At 34.2% G+C, this 21,573-nt stretch overlaps 1 protein-coding gene across 2 annotated transcripts in view; it reads left to right on the forward strand.

Moving 5' to 3' along the window:
- The window catches only part of PLCB1 (phospholipase C beta 1), a 752,635-nt gene that overhangs the window by 591,093 nt on the left and 139,969 nt on the right, over positions 1 to 21,573 (forward strand). For both annotated transcript variants that reach the window (NM_182734.3, NM_015192.4), the window contains exons 16-23: positions 1,298 to 1,394; positions 3,951 to 4,035; positions 5,692 to 5,816; positions 9,880 to 10,034; positions 13,670 to 13,834; positions 15,903 to 16,002; positions 16,986 to 17,090; positions 18,106 to 18,215. In NM_182734.3, coding sequence (NP_877398.1) covers positions 1,298 to 1,394; positions 3,951 to 4,035; positions 5,692 to 5,816; positions 9,880 to 10,034; positions 13,670 to 13,834; positions 15,903 to 16,002; positions 16,986 to 17,090; positions 18,106 to 18,215 — 942 coding nt within the window. The remainder of the gene's footprint in view (positions 1 to 1,297; positions 1,395 to 3,950; positions 4,036 to 5,691; positions 5,817 to 9,879; positions 10,035 to 13,669; positions 13,835 to 15,902; positions 16,003 to 16,985; positions 17,091 to 18,105; positions 18,216 to 21,573) is intronic.

Consider the following 21,573-nt stretch of genomic DNA (forward strand, 5'->3'; position numbering starts at 1 on the left):
AAATGAATGTTTCCCAGTTAACATTTGACCCAAATATTACTACCAGAATTTTTAAAAGAAACTCATCTCCATGCATTCTCTCTTCTAAAAATGTGAGACAATATTAGATCACTCTACAGAGGCCCATTTTGTGCCAACACTGCATTATTGGTTTTCTTTTTCATTAAAAACTCTATCAAAGTAATATGTCATAGCTAATAATAGCAAAAGCAACATGAGATTGTAGTACCACTTGCCAGGCACTGTTCTAAGCTCCTTCACATAAATTAACTTATTTTTTAATCAAAAACCCCTATATGCTGTAGGAACTGATTTTATCCTAATTTTACAAATGAGTCAAGTGAGGCACAGAGCAATTAAGTAAGTTGCCCAAGGTTGCCCGGTTTCTAACTAGTGGACTTGGGATTCGAAATCAGGCAGGCTGGCTCTAGAACGCGAGCCATTAATCCCTGCACTATGCTTTCCTGCTTGTCTAAGACACATCAGGAGCCAAGAAGGGAGGGAGGGAAGAATGTTGATGAAGGAAAGCAGTTGTTTACCCACCCCTGCCCATTTCCACAAAGCAATCTTTTTATTATTATTATCAATTTTCCCTTCATTTGGTGGTCACCTACCTAACAATTTTCTTATTGTACAGTGAATTCTTAATTTACGAATCCGATGAGAACACATGGACACATAAAGGGACATGGGGCCTACCTGCGGGTGGAGGTGGGAGGAGGGAGAGGATCAGGAAAAATAACTAATGGATGCCAGGCTTAATACCCGGGTGACAAAATAATCTGCACAACAAACCCCAGTGACATAAGTTTATTTATATAAAAAAAAAAACCTGCACGTGTAGCCCTGAATTTAAAATAAATGTTAAAAAAAATTACTAACCTTAGACAACACCTATGGACACCCTGCAATGGAAGATGAGCTATAGCTCAGTGCTTCTCAAACTTTGATGGGCATTCCAATGACCTTAGTAAAATGCAGGATCTGAGTCTGAGGCCTGCAGAGGGGCTAAGATCAGGCATTTCTAAATGGAAAGGAGGGGGCAGGGGATAGGGAGTGATTATGTTGGGGCCATGCTGCCAGCCACCATTCAACCTCCCACCTCCCTTCCTCCCTCCCTTTTATAAAATGAGGTGTTGCTGTTGCCTTTCTCCTGTAATGAATTTTCATTTTGTAATTTTCAGAAAGGGAGGGATGATTTTCTGCATGCTTGAATCATGTTGTCATTTTCCTGGGAAAATAACTGATAATATAATGCTGACTCTGGAAATGTTTTCTTTTTTATTCCTACTTCCAGGGGACTGCTGGAAGTGAGGCTATGGCCACAGAAGAAATGTCTAATCTGGTGAACTATATTCAGCCAGTCAAGTTTGAGTCATTTGAAATTTCAAAAAGTAAGTTTTCCCTGGAGAAAAACCCCTCTTGCAGCATATAATGATTATATTTTAAATACGGAGTAATGGGACCAAAGAATGTTACCCTTAATAGAGAGATTTATGCTTTTGAAGTCTTAAATATATGTACATTTTGACTGCCTTGTTACTTTACACATATAATAAATATGCATGTATTGTAATATATAAAAATAACCATATGAGAAAGTATTCTATGGTGTTCTCCAAAAATATTTAATAGGGCTACAGGCCATACATGGCTATCGGAAAGACACATGACCAGAGTACAACTAATTGGGAATTGTACTTTGCTTTTTGTTCGCAACACACAGTGAGATCCATCTGTTACATAAGTGATAATGTTGAAATAAACTATCTACCTGTTTCCCAGAAGGGAAGCAGGCAGAGACTTGATGAACCCTGATAATTAGAAATAGAACCAATTTATCTATATTCCATTTGTCCATCACATGTATATATTTAGAAGAAAATGCATTAACTTCACATCACTTTGTGTTTTCCCTTTATTCAACTATACATCCATACTTGTGCAAAGAAAAATATCATCTTTACCCAGACAAAAGGGTTCTTTTATGAAAATGCCCCTTGTATTTGCATGAAGCGTAAGATGCTATCAGATTAAGGGAATCCTTGAAACTTACTAGCCACTTATAAGGGTGTACCCTTAAAAACAGAAATTTGCCTAAATGTACTAGCTTCTAATCAAGGATGGCTTTGCAGCTATATCAAAATCCAAGCCTCTACCAAACACGCTTGTTTATATTTGTATAATCTTACAAAAAGTCTTCACTTAGTGGTATATGCAACCTAGATCTCTACAACAAAGAATTCAACTTCCAAGAGTTTATATATAATGATTTCTCAACATTGAATTCGATGTCCTAATTTCTGATGTTTCTTACAAGTTGTTTTCTTTGAAACATCCTAGCGTAGTTATTTTTATATCACTGTAATTTCATTGGCTGCAATGAGTTTCTCTAACTCATTAGTTAAAAGTTCCAAGACAAGTAGCCAAGTGTGAGAAAGAGCCAATATATTTAGATTCTTCAGAACCTGGAAACAACAGCACCAGCTAGACTCACAAACAAGCACTTTTCTCCTTGTGTTTAATATCATTTTATAACCTTGAAAAAAGAATATTCAACATATTTTACCAAGTACCTATTAATGTTGACTGAATTTTAATTAATAGTTATGCTTAATTTAATAAGTCATATAAAGGTAGATTTATGATGGACCAAAATAAGAGAAGCCAAGGTTTGCCTTAGAGTGGATTGGAGAAGGTGAGAAGATGGATGACGAAGCCTGGAAATCATTAAGAAGAACGAGGTTTTAATTTCGAAAGAGAGGTCAAAGAGGGAAAATATCTCAAAGATAACTCAGTTTAAAAAAATTCAGAGCTATATAACCACCCTGTGCTATACTTATCTAAAATACTGCTCATAATTGTTGGTTTTTAGTGGGGATGAGGGTAGAGAAAGTGATTCTCGGTCTTTCTAAACTAAGATAACTTTGTTTTCTTTCTCTCACTCTAATTGGAGGCTTGAATTTCACTTTCAAAATGTTTCTCTTGTGTTTAGCACATCCTCCTCTCTGGCCTCTATTTTATTTTATACTTTATTAGTCCATTCTCGTGCTGCTATGAAGAAATATCCGAGACTGGGTAATTTGTAAAGAAAAGAGGTTTAGTTGACTCACAGTTCTGCATGGCTGGGGAGACCTCAGGAAACAACAATCATGAGGCGGAAGGCACCTCTTCACAGGGCAGCAGGAGAGAGAATGAGTACAGGCAAGGGAAATGCCAGATGCTTATAAAACCATCAGCTCTCATGAGACTAATGCATTATCATGAGAACAACACAGGGGAACCACGCCCATAATTCAATTACCCCCACTTGGTAACCCCCCCTTGACACTGTGGGTATTACAATTCAAGGAGATTTTGTGTGGGGACACACCCAAGCCATATCATGTATCTAATATGAAAATGAAGCCATGAGACTGGAAAATTTCCAAGGACCTTTCTGTTTTGAAAGACCATAATTCTGTCATATTAGTTATTTGAACCAAAAAAGTATATACAAACTGATAAGGTGGCAATGTGGGTATGAAAGAGATAGTCAGCACCTAGCACAAACATTCCCATGGTCTCTTTTGTTAAACCCCATATTGGCCCTAAGAAAAAAATCTGGGTGAATTTAGAACAAAAGATTCCCACGGGGTCCCTGCTCTTTTGACAAATTTTTTTATTGCCACACTATACTCATCTAGAATTCATTCATGTCCCTAAATTACAAAAGCATAAGTAGCTCTGACCCAAGTAGCAAACGTTAGAAAAGACAACTAACAAGACTCAACTTTTGTTACAGGTAAATAGTGCACTAGAAAAAAAAATTAAATATTGAAATTACATTGAGGATTATTTGCCCTCAACTTCACTGAATATTTACCCATTTCTTTTATAATGTTATAATTTATAACAATGAATTGTATTTCTCACCTTCCCCTTTTTTGTTTTGTTGTTGCTTAACTCAGAAAGAAATAAAAGTTTTGAAATGTCTTCCTTCGTGGAAACCAAAGGACTTGAACAACTCACCAAGTCTCCAGTGGAATTTGTAGAGTATCCTTGATTTGACGAATGACTGCAGAATGAACACAGCTGAAGTCTTGTGCTATTTGTTCATTTGGTTTTTTAATAAGGAGAAAGATGCATAAAATGGCTTAAGTATATAGCCTGGGGCGGATAAATAGTTTCAGGTATCATATACAATGCTGGGCGGGGTAGTCTGGCCTATAGAACAAAAAACTGGTCTTGGAATAAAGGAAGCGTAGATTTCAAGGTTGCCTTCACACCACCAAGCTCTGTGTCTTTAGGCAATTTGCTTAATCCTGACTTTCCTTGTCTATAAAGCAGAAATAATTATACTAGCTTTATGGTTTGCTCTTTGGATTAGGTACAACATATGTAACATGAGTGTGCATACTTTACACATATATAAGATATATGTAAAGAAATATATACCTGACTTGGCATCTCACATACTTATATGTACTATATGTCCAAATAGTAGGGATGATGATGATGACATTGTAAATATAAATATACATTACTAAGACTGGATTTATTGATATTACTGACAACAAAAATTTTTGCTACTATCCATGAACTAAAATAAAGTGAAACAGGCTATTAAATTTCTTTCATAAAATTAACAGTAAATATCACAAAGTGCTCAATTTCATGTAATAAGTCCCAGAATAAAGTTAACCTTTAAAATTCATCAGTGGAAGAAGAAACAAATGTTGACTCCATAAATAAAGTCCTGCTAGAAAATTATCATCGTTAGTATTCCTTATTGACTGTGTGATAGATCTTGTCTTATCTCATTTAATCCTCACAATAGTCCTATGACATAGAAATTGTTAAATCTATTTTATAGATGAGGAGACTGAGTCACAGAAAGACAAAATAATTTGTCCAAGGTTATTCAGCTAGCAAGTTTGAGAGTTGAGGTTCAATTTCATTTTGCCTAGCTCAGAACCCTAACCAACCTTCACCTAACTTGGTGATAGGAACTAGTCAGTCATGTTTTAAAGACATAGCATGGTCCAACAACTACAAGATTCTTAGGATAGAAAACTGATAATGATAGGAACCAAAATATTAAGCAAGATCAGAAACTTCCATGGTACATTGACCTTGCTATCAATTATAAAGAGTACCACAGTCTTGGCAAATAGCATTCCCAGAGAAAATTAATAAAAATTAGCAGACAGCATTTCAAAAATAGCTATACAGTGCATATTATCTACTTCTGCCAAACACAATATCATTCTTTCAAATGATTTAACACATTCCAGCCTCCTTGTGTGTCCTTAGTCATTAAGTCTGTCCTTAATACTCTCCACAAAATCACATTGACTTTGGCTCAGCCACTTTTTGCTACCCCATTGACTTTTACCCACGGGGCTCTGCAAAGGTGATGCTATGCCTATGTGATAAGAGCATACTTATTCTGTTTGTTTAGAAAGCTTTTTGCATATTTGATATTACTGACAACAAAAATTTTTGCTATTATGCATGAAGTGAAATAAAATGAAACAGCCTATTTAATTTCTTTCATAAAATTAACACTAAATATCCCAAAGTAGCCCAACGAGATCATCAATATTTACTTCATTTTCCAAATGGAGAAAGATGGAAGGTAGCTTCTTAGTTACTATTATTGACTAAATATTTTTATAATTGTATTCACTACTTAACATGATGGTCCAGATATAACAAAATGCAGCTTAGCAGGATATATCCAAAAGGAACACGTGTGGATTCATCCAACTATATGCCTCAGCTCTTCTGGAATGCAGGTTGTCAGATGGTGGCACTTAATTTCCAGACAATGGGTAAGTACATGCTTGTTCCCATTCTGCTATGAACTCACATTGCCAAGTGTCCAAAAACCATTCTTACATAATTGGGGGAGAGAAAATTGCCAGACTTCACTGAAAAAATAAATAAAAGCAAATTTCAATGAAGGGAATATCAATGCATAAAAAAAGTGAATTTTGAAAATCGAGACATGTTCTTCAATTATTCTGTAAATGGATCTTTATTTCTACAGGCTTTGCATTATTTTTCAAACAAAAATTTTTATGCTTTTTAAGATAATACATATTTATTTTGAAAATAATGGAAAATTCAGTAAGTATTTTAAAAACAAACTGCCAGGAATGCTACCAACTCAGAGATTCCACAGTGTTGACTTTTAGCTTTGTAATCTATGTCTTTTTTGTCTACATATAAATGCTTTTTTTATGTAACTACTCATTTAAAATAAATACATATATATTCATATATACATATATAAACACACACTCACCTAAGTGCCATAGAGAGACATGAATTTCAATAGCTGCATACTAAGCATATTTCACAATTCGCTAAAAACTTATTTCTATTCCCTAAATTTCTTTTGGAAAATATTTTAAAAACAGAATTACTAACGTTAAAAGATGTGAACAGTTTAAGTACCTTTATGAATATTGCCAAATTGTCTGTAAAAAATGTTGTGCTACATTACTCCGCTGTCAGCAATGTTTAATATGACGTGGCCTCTCATTTGCGATCTTGGTTAAGTATTATCGTTAAATAATAATAATAATTAAACCAGACAAAAATGTGTTATTTCACTGTTATTTTAAATTCATTTCTTGAATCATTATTAAGGTTGAACTTTTTAAAATATGTTTCTTGGTTTTTGTATTTCTGCTTTTATGAATTACATATTCAGGACTATCGTCAATTTTCTTGTTGATTTATAACAGCACTTTTTATTTAAAGGGTATATTGTCTTTTGTGAAACAGAGACAATTCAGTGGATCAGGTCAGGCTGATTAATGTTTAATTAAAAGTTCTTGGTTTACTTGTATGATTACAGCCTCCTCACCCCAGGATGAAAGCCTTGTGCTCCCATTTTTCTCATGGTTTCTTTTTTATTTAACCTTTTCAACCATCAAAATTTAATTTTGGTCCATAGTCTCAGTGAGATCAATCCTTTTTTTTCATCCTAAACAATCATCCCACTGAACTGGAATTACACGTTAATAGATACAGCCTTTTTCATTGTTGTTGTTAATTCAGACCCATTTTTTCACTTTGTATCTTTTCCATTAATAAATTTGTCTGCCTTCCTGGATGCAATAACTCACTGTTTTTACTGTATTTTATAATATGGATTAATACCTGGAAGTGGTGATTCTCCTTTACTACTATTAATTTTCAATTCCTTTTTTGCCATTGCCAGTGGAATTCTTATTTCAAATAAACTTAATTTAACTGTATTATGTTTTCCTTGACTACTAAAAAAAAACTATTTTTAAAATCATATTAACTTTATAAATTTATCTGACAAAAACTGACACCTTTTTAATTTTTAGTTTTTCTGTCACAGGAAAAATGCTTTTCTCTTTACTTTAAAATTTTTTGTATTAAGTCCTCAGCAAAATCACTTGTCTTCATTAGAGGTCTAGTTTTCTTAGACTGAATCTTTCTTTTTATTTATATTATATTTTTAACAGATTGTTTCTGGATATTTATATTTGTATATTTGTTTATTTTATAAATGATTGTATTTTACAAATGATCATCTTTCTAAACTCTTATAATAGCCTATTTTTTGCAGTACATTCCGTTGGAATTTTTAGACACACAAAGACAGTAATTTAATCATATCTCATTTCTCCACCTGCCTTATTTATTGCTTTGGCCTTACCGTTCTCAGGTATTAAATGAGGGTTCCGAGTGGGCATCTTTCTTTTTTATTCAGTAGGAAGTTCAACATTATGCCTTTTATTAAGTATCTATCAAGCTCTAAGCCACGATTAAGAGTAATTTGCTAGATATTTATGGCTTTTTAAAATCAATTAATTTATTTTTATTGATACATAATAGCTGTACAAACGTTTGCAGTACGTATGATAATTTAATACATTTATATAATCAAATCAGAGTAATTGGGATATCCATCACCTGAAATATTTATCTTTACATTAGAAACAATCGAATTGCTGTCTTCTAGCTATTTTTAAATGTACAAACTATTAATGTTAACTATAGTCACCTCCTTGTCTATCAAACACCAGGTCTTAACGTCTTCTATCTAAGTGAAGAGTGGGCATCTTTCTCTTCATCCTGATCCTAATATAAGTTTCACTGTTGTGATATCATCAAGTCAGATATTGGCTGTGACTTTGAGTCAGATATTCTTTAACATACTAAAGGACACGGGTCCTATTTGACTAATGTTTTAGAAGTTGGTATTGAATGTTATTAAATGTCTCTTGGACATCCATTGGGATGATCATATGTTCATTTTTCAGACATAAATGTGATAAGTTATCTTAATAGATCTCATTTCCTAATATATAATTATCCTTTTGTTCCCAAAATAGGCTCTACTTATTTGTTGTGTATTATTTTTAGAACATATGACTTGCTAATGTAATTTTTAGGCTTTTGAAGCTAATTTTTTCAAGTGTCATAAATTCATTATTGTTTTGAAATTTTGTCCAATTTTGACATCATAGTTATGTTTATAAAATAATAGTTTAATAAGAGAAAATTTCACTGATTTTTTTCTGCTCTAAAAATGATTTGTTAAATGAAACTTTAGAATAATTCTGCCATCACCTCTTTATTATGCACATAGAGATGAGTCATGACACAGATAATCTGGAACTGTTGACAACTTCCCAGATTCTTTACAACTTTAATATGTATTCTTTCACTCTATCAGTTGCAATATGTGTGAACGTTCATCTGATGCACTGAGTCTGAGGAAAATTTTGACCAGTAACCTTTGTCCACTGGAAAAGAGTCTATGTAGAATTAGATGTTAATTGTAAGTAATCACAGAAGTGCAAATTATAAAAAAGAAATTTTTTGTACAAATTAAAAAGCAGGAAAAGGAATAATAGAATCCTCTTTTAATGAGGCATGGAGAAGTCCATTCTCAAAAACATGGCTTAGTAGTATAAGCTGGTTTAAGCTTTCTGAAGGGCATTTTAGCAAGGCATCAAAGAAAAATTTTCCAATGAGGACATCATTTGTCCCAGGAATTCCTCTCATAAGAAAATCACTGATCATGGCTTCAAAGATTTCACCACAATGATGTTTATCAAAACATTATAAGGGTGAAAAATTAGAAAAAACATAAATGTGCCCAAAAGGGGAATGGTTAAATACATTATATTCTAATATATTGTATTAGATATTATATTCTAATATATTGTATTAGATATTATATTCTAATATATTGTATTAGATAGTGTATCATATTAGAAATTAGATATTAGAATTAGAAATTAGAAATTAGATATTAGATATTGTATCATAATATTCTAATATATGCTTTATATATTAGAATGATATATTTAATATATCATTCTAATATATCTAATATATATTAGAATGATATATTTAATACATTAGATATTAGATATATTAGAATAATATAAATAATATATCTAATATATGTTAGATATTAGATATTTTGTATATACTATATTTATATATAATTATATATTATATATTAGATATATTATATTATATTAATATTTAACATATATTATACAAATATATTATTCTAATATATTTAATCAAAGGAATTTGAGACAGCTGTTATAATTAAGGCAGATACATATTAAATGAAATCAATATACTGTATGTCAACAATATATTTGAAGTGGAAAAGCAGACTGCACACCCACCAGTTGGCAGTGATTATTTCTGGACTTGGGGATTAGAGGTAATTTTTTTCTTATCTGTGTTTCCTGCATTTCTACAATGACTCTCTTCCAAGGGAATACAGTCACAAAAGTGGACTGGGATCAACTTTACTTTACAATCTTACTTTCTTACCCCAAGTATAGATAAACTCACAATAAGGCTTGTGTTTTTGATACTCAGACCTGGCTATGCAAATAAATATGGGGATGTATGAATACAACGGGAAGAGTGGCTACAGATTGAAGCCAGAGTTCATGAGGAGGCCTGACAAGCATTTTGATCCATTTACTGAAGGCATCGTAGATGGGATAGTGGCAAACACTTTGTCTGTTAAGGTAGGTATACCCCATCACAAAATTGTTCCTAACAATAGTGTTGAATTTATCTACATTGCATAAAGAAGTGGCTTAGTCATTAAAAATTTAGTAACTAGGAAAGATTCTACTTTCTTCCTACATTTTTTTTCTCTAAAGATCAAATACACATTAAAAGTTTTCGTAAGGGGTCCGTGTGTTCTCATTGTTCAATTCCCATCTATGAATGCACACGGGAAGGGGAACATCACACTCTGGGGACTGTTGTGGGGTGGGGGGAGCGGGGAGGGATAGCATTAGGAGATACACCTAATGCTAAATGACGAGTTAATGGGTGCAGCACACCAGCATGGCACATGTATACATATGTAACTAACCTGCACATTGTGCGCATGTACCCTAAAACTTAAAGTATAATAATAATAATAATAATAATAATAATAATAATAATAATAAAAGTTTTGGTAGGGTCGGGCGCAGTGACTCACGCCTGTAATCCCAGCACTTTGGGAGGCCGAGGCAGGTGGATCACGAGGTCAGGAGATCGAGACCATCCTGGCTAACACGGTGAAACCCCGTCTCTACTAAAAAATACAAAAAAAAACAATTAGCCGGGCGTGGTGGCGGGCGCCTGTAGTGCCAGCTACTCAAGAGGCTGAGACAGGAGAATGGCGTGAACCTGGGAGGTGGAGCTTGCAGAGAGCCCAGATCGCGCCACTGCACTCCAGCCTGGGCGACAGAGCGAGAGAGCGAGACTCTGTCTCAAAAAAAAAAAAAAAAAAAAAAAAAGTTTTCATAGGCCACATGAATAAGATAAAGCGACTGAACTTTATTCTTAATGATAAAAATCTGACTCTAAATCAATAAAATGAGTTGGAGAGACTCATCATAAGCAAACCTCTTTTTTGGTGTAACTAACCTACTATGAAATTTACATGATAATTAGTGGCCCATATTGGAGAGATTTTCCGGTCTTTTTTTCCCCGTTTGGTTCTTAGAAAATTAGAGACAGAACATTCCCTCAATAAATTATCAAATGTTAAACAAAAGCTTTCAAATTACTTTAAATGGTTTTTGAAAATCTTCCAGAGTATTCAGAGATTTTAAAACACATATTAATGATCATTAAATAAAAGAGTTGCTTTATTAAATATATATGTATATATACATGTATGTCATAAATATATAAAAATCATAGATATATACACATACATATGTATATCTGACCCTAAACAATTCTAAATTTTTTTAGTCTTTGAAATTGATTTTATATCAGATATAATTTTTTAGCTACCAGAAAATATTTTTAATACTATGAAAGGAAAATCAATTTTTTAGAATACATTTTACATGGATTCTTCATCGTTAAAGCTTTTCAAAAATATTGTCTGTTTTCTGTTTAACTGAATAACTATAGAACTAAGAAATTTTTTTACTGGACATAAATGTAATTTTTTGATTAACCTTAAACAAAGGCATTTGAAAAACTATGTAAAAAGCTTTCTATAACAGCTTCACTAATTTCTTTCTACCCTAAGCAGTTGAGCACATTTTTACCTTAAAACTTTCGTCACTTTATATCAAGGGTTTAAAGAATAAAATTTCAGTGAAGTGTCTCATAATTATATCTTTTGAAATTACTTCAAGCCACATGTATAAAGAGTTCAAGTTGGCAGAATTAGAGTTTATTTTAGGAAAGTATTTTCAGAAAAGGCTGTTTAATTCCTGTCAGGTGTGATAAAGATAAACTCATAAGCTCCATGTACTGATAGAATGCTACTTTTAGAATCCTTGTCAATTGTTGTTATAGTTCGGTTGAATTAATAATATTTTTGCTTTGCTTGCAGATTCGTCTTGTTTTGAATGTATTTGTTTGCTTATTTCTTTTTTTGTCTTGAAAATCCTACTGTGACAGTAAGCAATTATAAAACAATGACACAGAGGCAGGAAAGTACATTGAGTTGTGAAGGGGAAATAGTTGATCCCCAGACAAGTGTAACCTGCTGCTCCTGTCCAGAATGGAGACGCTGCTCCAGAGCTGTCAGTCTCCCCTGAATGGACAGTTCTCACTGCAGTAGAGTCCTACCTTTGACATTATAGCTAGAGCCAAGATACAGATCATAACTTTCCAATTATGCCTTTGTTTTCATCTTCTGGCATAGATTTTATAATGCCAGAATGGACTTGTGAGCTCACATGATGTTCTACCGTCCTATGTTACTGACGAGAGCATTGTGGTTTTGGTGTCATGAATTTAGTTTAGGACTCTGCTTTGGTCAAACATCTTAAACATACAACATCTTCTGTGCATCTGAATTCCAAGTAGGACTTGCATAACTTAGAAGTTTCAAACATGTTTTGAAATGCTTGCTTATTTCATAGACATAGTTCTCACATAGAACCTCAAGTTAAACAAAGAGATTGTTGCTAGCAGGTCCCATGCACTCAAGCCAAATAGAACATACAGGGGAAATGAGTTGTCCCAGGGCAAATTCAGAGAGCCTTCCTGATGACTTTCTCTCTGAATTACTCAGAATTTCTGACAACATCAGCATATAGCTGACTTTGACTTTACTCAGCCTTTGATAGCTATTCTCATGCCACCATTTTGTCTGATTTCTGGCCCAGCCATAATTCTGTCCCCTTTCACAATCTTGAGCTCAGATTGTGAGCCCAGCCATAATGCTGTCCCCTTTTCACAATCTGGAGCTCAGAAAGTTCTTGACCAGCAGGCAATTTTCTTGTAACCACATAACCCAGATTCACCAGGTTTGCTCTGTCAGCACTTGCTTCCTGCTTTCCCCTTCCTGGTATACAGCAGAAGCACATCTTGTTTGCCTCCGCTAACCTTTATGACAGCTGGTGGATAGTTCAGATTTTGAAAATTTGCATAGAAACAGAGGCAGACATGGAAGACATTTATAAATACGTAATATTAAAAATCTCTTTTAAGTCTATAATATCCATTAGTTCTGTAGCTAGACAAAGATGGTGACACCTTGTGAGATTAGGGGTAATGATAAACTTATCTTGATGGTTTAAAGTGAATACTTGTTCATTTATTCCTCCTACAATACTGTGTCTTATTAATTGACTACTTCTAACCTCACCATTTTCAATATCCTTCTACCAACCTGTGTTTGTCCATTTTCACACTGCTATAAAGAACTACCTGAAACTGAGCAATTTATAAAGAAAAGAGGTTTAATTGACTCACAGTTCTGCATGGCTGAGGAGGCCTCATGAAACTTACAATTATGGTGGAAAGTGAAGGGGAAGCAAAGCACACCTCACATGAAGGGAGAAGAGAGAGAGTGAGGGGGGAACTGCCACACACTTATTAAACCATCAGATCTTGTGAGAACTCACTATCATGAGAACAGCATGAGAGAAACCACTCCCATAATCCAATCACCCTCCCCAAATATGTGAGGATTACAATTCAACATGAGATTTGGGTGAGGACATAGAACCAAACCATATCATAACCCATTAAGTGAAAGGGAAATCATATTTCTACTCTTGCTTCTATTCCATTTTGCTTATAATTCAACATTTGCTGAAGAGCATTTGTGGCTCTTTAAAGTATTCTCTTATGTCTTTGTTATTTGCATATCAAAATTCCTTATGGATTGATTGATTTATTGATTTTCTAGATTATTTCAGGTCAGTTTCTTTCTGATAAGAAAGTTGGGACTTACGTGGAAGTAGATATGTTTGGTTTGCCTGTGGATACAAGGAGGAAGGCATTTAAGACCAAAACATCCCAAGGAAATGCTGTGAATCCTGTCTGGGAAGAAGAACCTATTGTGTTCAAAAAGGTTGGTCACATGTTCTTGATATGAGTTATAACTGCATTTTTCAGGTGTTTTACACTGAGAAAATAATGAAATGGTGAATTATTTGTTATTTAATTTGAAAATTTACACACTTATAAAGCAATTACCTTTTGAAAGCCATTCTGAAAACCCTTCAAGAATTCTGTTAATCACTGGTTTGGATTTTCAGAATTGTATTGTAAATCAATTCATTCTAGTATGCCTCAAATGGACGGCCATAAAAACATATACATTTAACTCATATCATCTGATAGTACAAATGATAAATGATACATTTTAATTATAACTCAAAGAAGTAGAGTGGAAGTAGGGAATAATATAGTGGCTGAGATAAAGAAAATTCATATTTCCTTTAAAAGGAATATTATTTAAATTCCCCAAAATCTCTAGCCTCTGAGAGCTGGTCATTCAATCTTGTCTGGGTTCTATCTAATAAAGTTGAAACCTTTCACACTCAACTGGGCCCTTCTCTTTCTTCACCAAAAAGCAAATCTTCACACATGCTTATCATGTAAAGGAAGAAAGTAGGTTCAGTGGGAAGTAGACTTTTTAGCCTACTCTTTGCTTTTTTCTGGCCAAAATATCTACAAATCCAGTCTTCTGCAAAGAGAATAGCTATGCGGAAACTCTCTGTGCTCTGGGATTTTTCCATATGTTAACTGAGTTTAATAATAATGCTTACTATACTGTTTACTTCTTACAGTTATTATGAATATTCCATAAGTAAATACATTGACCACACTTAAGAAATATCTAGCACAATGAAAATATTCAATAAATGTGAGTTTGCTGTTTTTGTAAACAATACATTTTTAAAGAGATAGTCGACTTCATGTTCTTGACATAAGATATAACTGCATATTTTAGATGTTTCACACTGAGGAAAGAAATGAGTAGTTGCTCTTTGCTTACTGTGGGAATTTACAAATTTATAAAGCAATTGTATTTTGAAAGCTGTCCTGAAAGTTATTCTTGTTTTTCAGTGGTGGTTGTTTTCACTTTTTTTGCTTTCACTTTGAAGATGCAAAAGTCATTTGCTTTGAAAACATAAACGACTTCCACAATGGTTGAACTAGTTTACAGTCCCACCAACAGTGTAAAAGTGTTCCTATTTCTCCACATCCTCTCCAGCACCTGTTGTTTCCTGACTTTTTAATGATTGCCATTCTAACTGGTGTGAGATGGTATCTCATTGTGGTTTTGATTTGCATTTCTCTGATGGCCAGTGATGGTGAGCATTTTTTCTTAGTGGGTGCAGCGTACCAGCATGGCACATGTATGCATATGTAACTAACCTGCACATTGTGCACATGTACCCAAAAACTTAAAAGTATAATAATAATAATAAAAATTAAAACACAAATTAAAAAAAAAGAAAACATAAATGAAATATTCACATGGTGATAAAACCACTAAACTCTTTTTGTTGAAAGATAGAACTTTTGTCATTTCCACATTGAGAATGTTCATGTAAAAATAAAACAGCCTATTTTTTTAACAAATGCCTCATTAAGGCAAGGTGATAAAACATAGATGAAGCCCTATCTCTGGCAACCCATGTCTTCTCCTCTGAAAATGAAATTTATAGGGCAACATCTCAACTTTTTGTCTAAAGTAGCTAAGTAGAAACTTCTAGTTGGATCTGAAAAGCTGGTCCTGGCCAGGCGCAGTGGCTCATGCCTCTAATCCGAGCACTTTGGGAGGCCAAGGTGGTGGATCACCTGAGGTCGGGAGTTCGAGACCAGCCTGACCAATATGGTGAAATGCTGTCTCTACTAAAAAAGTACAAAAATTAGTCAGGTGTGGGGGCATGCACCTGTAGTCCCAGCTACTTGGAAGGCTGAGACAGGAGAATGGCTTGAACCCAGAGGCGGAGGTTGCAGTGAGCCAAGATCACGCCACTGCACTTCAGCCTGGGTGACACAGCAAGACTCTATCTCAAAAAAAGAAAGAGAAAAGAAAAGCTAGTCCTGATTGAATAATACCTTTCTAATTATTTCTTGGAATTGTTCATTCTTATAACCAGGTGTGTCCTTAATGTCCTTTGTAGGTGGTTCTTCCTACTCTGGCCTGTTTGAGAATAGCAGTTTATGAAGAAGGAGGTAAATTCATTGGCCACCGTATCTTGCCAGTGCAAGCCATTCGGCCAGGTATGGGTAGTGTGCTGAGAAACCTTTTATCAAAGTTGCAAAGAAAATCATTACTGCTTAAAATATTACTAGAAAATGACTTAAGAAACTATTTTCTGCTTTGTAATTTTGTTATGTAACAAGGGCGATGAGATTTAGTTACATGTTTTTGTGACATGTTGTAGTATTAATGTTAGTCAACTCTTTCAACAATAATTATGTGTAACAAACAATCTGAAAACTTATATGCAAATATTTATCTTCGTGCTCATAGGTCTGTGGGTTGGCCGGGTTTGGCTAATCTAGCCTGGGCTCCGCAGCATAGCTGTGCTTCAGGTTCTGGGTTGGGTCTATGTCTGTCCCACATGCGCTCACTCTGGGGTCCAGGCTGAAGTGGCAGTTGCTTCTACAATATGGACTTCTCTTGGCAGAACACTGGAATGTCTAACTCTGCATGTGCATTTTAAGCCTCTACCTACACCAAATTACTAATATACTGTTGACTAAAGCAGAGCTTAAGCACAAGTCAAGAAATCACGTCAAGGCTGGGCATGGTGGCTCACGCCTATAATCTCAGCACTTTGGGAGGCTGAGGCAGGAGGATCTCTTGAGGCCAGAAGTTTGAAACCAGCCTGAGCAACAGAATGAGACCCTGTCTCTACAAAAAATAATAATAACAATTTTTTAAAAAAAGAAGTCATGTCAAGTATAATTCTGTTATGGGGGCAAGTTTGGATCAATAATTCAGTCTATGACATGTGATTTGGAATTATCTTTTGTGGGAAAAATCATACGGTTGGAAAGGAAAAAATCACATTGAATGTTTTCTTGTCTGATGAGAAAAATAATGCCTTATCATTCATAAATGTTATTAAAATGAAAAAAGTGATTTGTTTTTCATCTAAAGTAACCTGAAATACATGCTTTCATCACATAGATGCGCATAATTATAACTAACATTGGAAAGGAAATATGTGCTACACAGCATTATTCTCACCTTCCAGGCTATCACTATATCTGTCTAAGGAATGAAAGGAACCAGCCTCTGACGCTGCCTGCTGTCTTTGTCTACATAGAAGTGAAAGACTATGTGCCAGACACATATGCAGGTAAACAACTTAACTCAAATACCACTTTACTCAAAGGGGTATTTCTGTCTGAGTCACCATATATTTTTGGGTTAGTGAAAGGAAAACTGAACCAAACAAAGCAGGAGATTCTGGCTTCAGAATCACCCCTACTTTCGTATGTATGTTTAGAGGTAAATTGCTTGAGCCATTGTGAATACATTTTAATTTAACGTATTTTAATTAAAATCACAACACCTCAGTTTTTTGAATATTTATTCCCTTTTAGTCTTATTCTCATGGGCCCAGCACTTACCAACTCATGTTATCCATTACAACAAATGTCTAGGTCTGTACACTGAATTTGTCTTCCACCAATTTTAGAATGCTGATTCTTTTCATGGGTGACATCCTAAATTTAAGGAATTAACCAAGAATCATAAGTGTAAATGCTTATAGTGCCAAGTAGCTTGGGTGTAAGACACTGGGGAGTAGTGGAGACCATGGTAAGCTTGGGGCTGTCCATCCAAAGCTGGCAGCCATAACTCATTCCAGCTAGGCACTGCCCTTCAAATAACTATATTGGCAAATCATTGGGTTATCCCAACAGTCCGGAAAGCAGGCTTTTTATGTAAAATGTCTCCATTTATGAAACGTCATTTGGGCCAAATAGGACAATTGGGTGGGCCATTGCCGGAATGGATGGGACCTTCAAAAAGAAACTAAGGAATCAAGAATATTCAGGGATCCTGAGTTGAAGCCTGTCCAGTTTGACTCTCAGAACTAAACTCTTAATTTCTCTCTTCCTGAAGTTTCAACAGAGTCCTAACCCTTGTCCATGTTCAAAGTGTTGGATAGAGGAGTAGATAGTTATATGGGTAGACAGAAGAATGGAAGATGGATAATGACTGGGTGGATGGATGGATGGATGGATGGGTGGGTAGATGGGTGATGAATGAATGCATGGACTGATGGTCAGATAGATGAGTAAGTAGATGAATGATGGATAATCAATACTTCCAGGACCTTTGATCTAAAATATCTCTTCCCTATTTAGATGTCATCGAAGCTTTATCAAACCCAATCCGATATGTGAACCTGATGGAACAGAGAGCTAAGCAATTGGCTGCTTTGACACTGGAAGATGAAGAAGAAGTAAAGAAAGAGGTGAGAGGGTGTTTTAATTTTACATATAGCATTAAGCATGATCACCACACCTACTTGTTGGCTTTGCCTAAGTAATATCACATACCTTGGGAGAAGGAATAGCACATTGGAACAACACTTTCATGCAGTTTAGCATCATGTCACAGAACATCTAGATGATTGACTTAAATTTTTCACATTTCATTTTCTTTTGGCATTCTGTGGATACCACGAGCATCTTATCTTGTGATAAAATTAAACTGCACACATCTTGCTATTTCAGATGAAACTTTCTACATGATTCCATGCTAATTAAAGGTGATGAACGCATTTAAAAAGGAAGATAATCATCAAATCATTTAGGGTTTCCCTTTATCTTTAATGTAGCATGCAGGATTTTCAAAGTGCTTTTCTGATTTTTATAGTACATAAAATATTTAACACAATACCTGGAAAATAGTATGAGTCATAAAGAGTCTACTGTTATTATTAGATGGTATATTTATGTATTATAATGTGTGTCCTGCAAATAATTGATATATTATTCCAAATTAGATGTCACAATGCAAAGCATAATTAAGGAAGGGTCTAAAAATAGTAGAAATGAAGTTTAAATTTATAAAGCTTCTATGTAGACTGGCAGTCTTTTTGCTTTTAAAAAAAGTGAATTATAACTTGATTATTAAGGGTGACACTAATATTAAAAATAGTGATAAAAATTTGCTATTTTCATATTTTATTCAGAGGAAAAACTCGAGAAAAAAGATAGAAAATGGAGAACTGTCAGTATTGGGGGAAAAAACCTTGAAAATTGTTTTAATAAGTATAACTAATAGTTATCCATTAAATAGTCCATTTAAATAGTCTATTAAAGTTGACATTGTTAAGTAATGTTTTTCTTATTTCGAAAGCATCCTCGATTTATTATAGAAAATTTAAAACGTAAAAATGACAAAAGAAAACAACAAAGAAATCAACTGTAATTCAAACATCCCATCCGCTCAGAGATAGCCACATTAAATGTGGGGTGTATACATATCTAGTCTTTTTATGCACAATTGTTACTCTTTCATAAAATGGGATAATATTCACAGTCTGTGTTTTAAGTGAAAATAAAAGTATTAAGTATCTCATTGCCCATGTCATTAAATATTCTTCTATGACATGACTTTTAATAACTCATAGCCTTCTATCATATAGCTCCACCATAATTTAATTACTAAGTCCCCAATTATTGGATATTTGCAATGCTGCACTATTTTATTTTATTTGTGGGTACATAGTAGGTATATATGTTACGGGGTGCATTTGATATTCTGATACAGACATACTGATTTTTGTACACTGATTTTTAATCCTGCAACTTTACTGAATGTTAATCAGTTCTAATAGTTAGTTGGTGGAGTCATTAGGTTTTTCCAAATACAAGATCATGTTATCTGCAAACAGGAATAATTTGACTTTTTCCAGTTTGGATGCCCTTTATTTTATTTTCTTGTCCAGTTGCTCTAGCTTGGATTTCCAGTAGTATGTTGAATAACAGTGGTGAAAGTGAGCATCCTTGTCTTATTCCAGATCTCAGAGGAAAGGCTTTCAGTTTTTCTTCATTCAGTTTGATACTAGCTGTTGAACTGTTATATATGGCTTTCATTGTGTTGATGTATGTTACTTCTATACCCAGGTGGGGTTTTTTTGAGGGTTTTTATCAGAAGGGATGTTGAATTTTATCAAATGCTTTTTCAACATCAATTGAAATGATCATATGGGTTTTTTTTTCCTTCATTCTGTTGATATGATGTATCACATTGATTGATTTGCATATGTTGAACCATCCTTGCATCTCTGGGATAAATCCCACTTGGGAGAATCATAGCTCAGTACCTTGTTTGTGGTGGGCAACTTCTGTGTTGCAATTCATGCTCCAGAGCACCCTGTGGGATCAGTCTGAGACTGGAGTTTGCCTGAGGCCACATTTCGACTTATCTTCTTCCCTGTCTTAACCTGCTTGCCTCACCTCCCTGCAGTTTTTTCCTGAGACCATTCTCTCAGTTACTCATGTGCTCAACATGTGCTCAAGAATCCTCATGTCCACTTCTGCTTCTAGGGAAACCAGCAATGCTAAGTAGCTTGCTGTTTTATAAATAAATACAAGAATGAGTTCCCTATCTGAATTAATTCTTAATCAAAATTAAGAATTTAAATATTTGAAAATAGTTACATCTCTCATTCTGATATTTCTTCAGTTATAATAGTGCTTTTTCTCTTTTCCATGGCCTTTAAAAGATTAAGAAAGACTGTTCTATGAGTTTCTCATTTTACTCATATGAACATCAGTATGAAATTAATTTCTCTTTGGAAATCCACCAAAGGTTCTCAAATTCTTTTCTCTTTTTCCTGCTTTACTTAATAGCATATTTAATAAACTATAATTAAAGGTAAAGATAATTTACATAGATACAAATAAATCACTATTAATATCATTCTTCTCTAAATAGAAAACAGGACCTATTAGGTACAATGCATATTACCTGAGTGGCAAAGTTATCTGAATACCAAACCCCTATGACACACCTATATGACAAACCCTCATGTGTACCCCTGAACCTAAAATAAAAGCTAAAAAAAAAAGAAAACAGAAATGTCCTTTTTCAACTGGATGAATTTTATTCTGTAAGAAATAGAGGTTAAACAAAAGCATTTTCAAGTGAAATTACATGTATTTTCAGTATTTAGAGGAAATACTTTTTAGATTATCAACTTTAACCCATTAGTTAGCCATTGTCTCTAAGGAATAAGCACTTGCTTCAAGAGAACATTTCAACACTACCATATTTCAGCCTACTTTTTCTATTGTCTGACTCACATGTTCTTGTGAGTGAGCTGAAATTTATCTAAAATTGTTTCAAATAGCTGGGTGTGCTGACACATGCCTGTAATCCCAGCTACTCGGGAGCCTGAGGCAGGGGAATTGCTTGAGTCCAGGAGACAGAGGCTGCAATTAACTATGAATGCACTACTATACCCTAGCCTGGGCCACAGAGACCATGTCTCTTAAAAATAAAATAAATAAAATAAAATAAAATAAAATAAAATAAAATAAAATAAAAAAATAAAATTGTTTGTAAATATTTCCTGATTCAGTGTATGGCCCCGATTCGATATAGCAATTGAGCTAAAGGTCTCATAATGGAACATTTTACTAATGGTGCTTCAGAGATCATTTCTGTAATGACTAGGGGAAAATGTCACTCTAAAGAATGAGAGACATAAGGCCTTTGAGGTTGTAGGGCTCTTTTCACAAATTGATGTCCTTTGGAAACCTTATCTTTGCACCATCAAAAAGTTATTTTAGGAGGATAAAATGTACAAAAATACAGAA

The sequence above is a fragment of the Homo sapiens genome, chromosome 20 (assembly GCF_000001405.40).
Source record: "Homo sapiens chromosome 20, GRCh38.p14 Primary Assembly".
In the NCBI taxonomy this organism is placed as follows: Eukaryota; Metazoa; Chordata; class Mammalia; order Primates; family Hominidae; genus Homo; species Homo sapiens.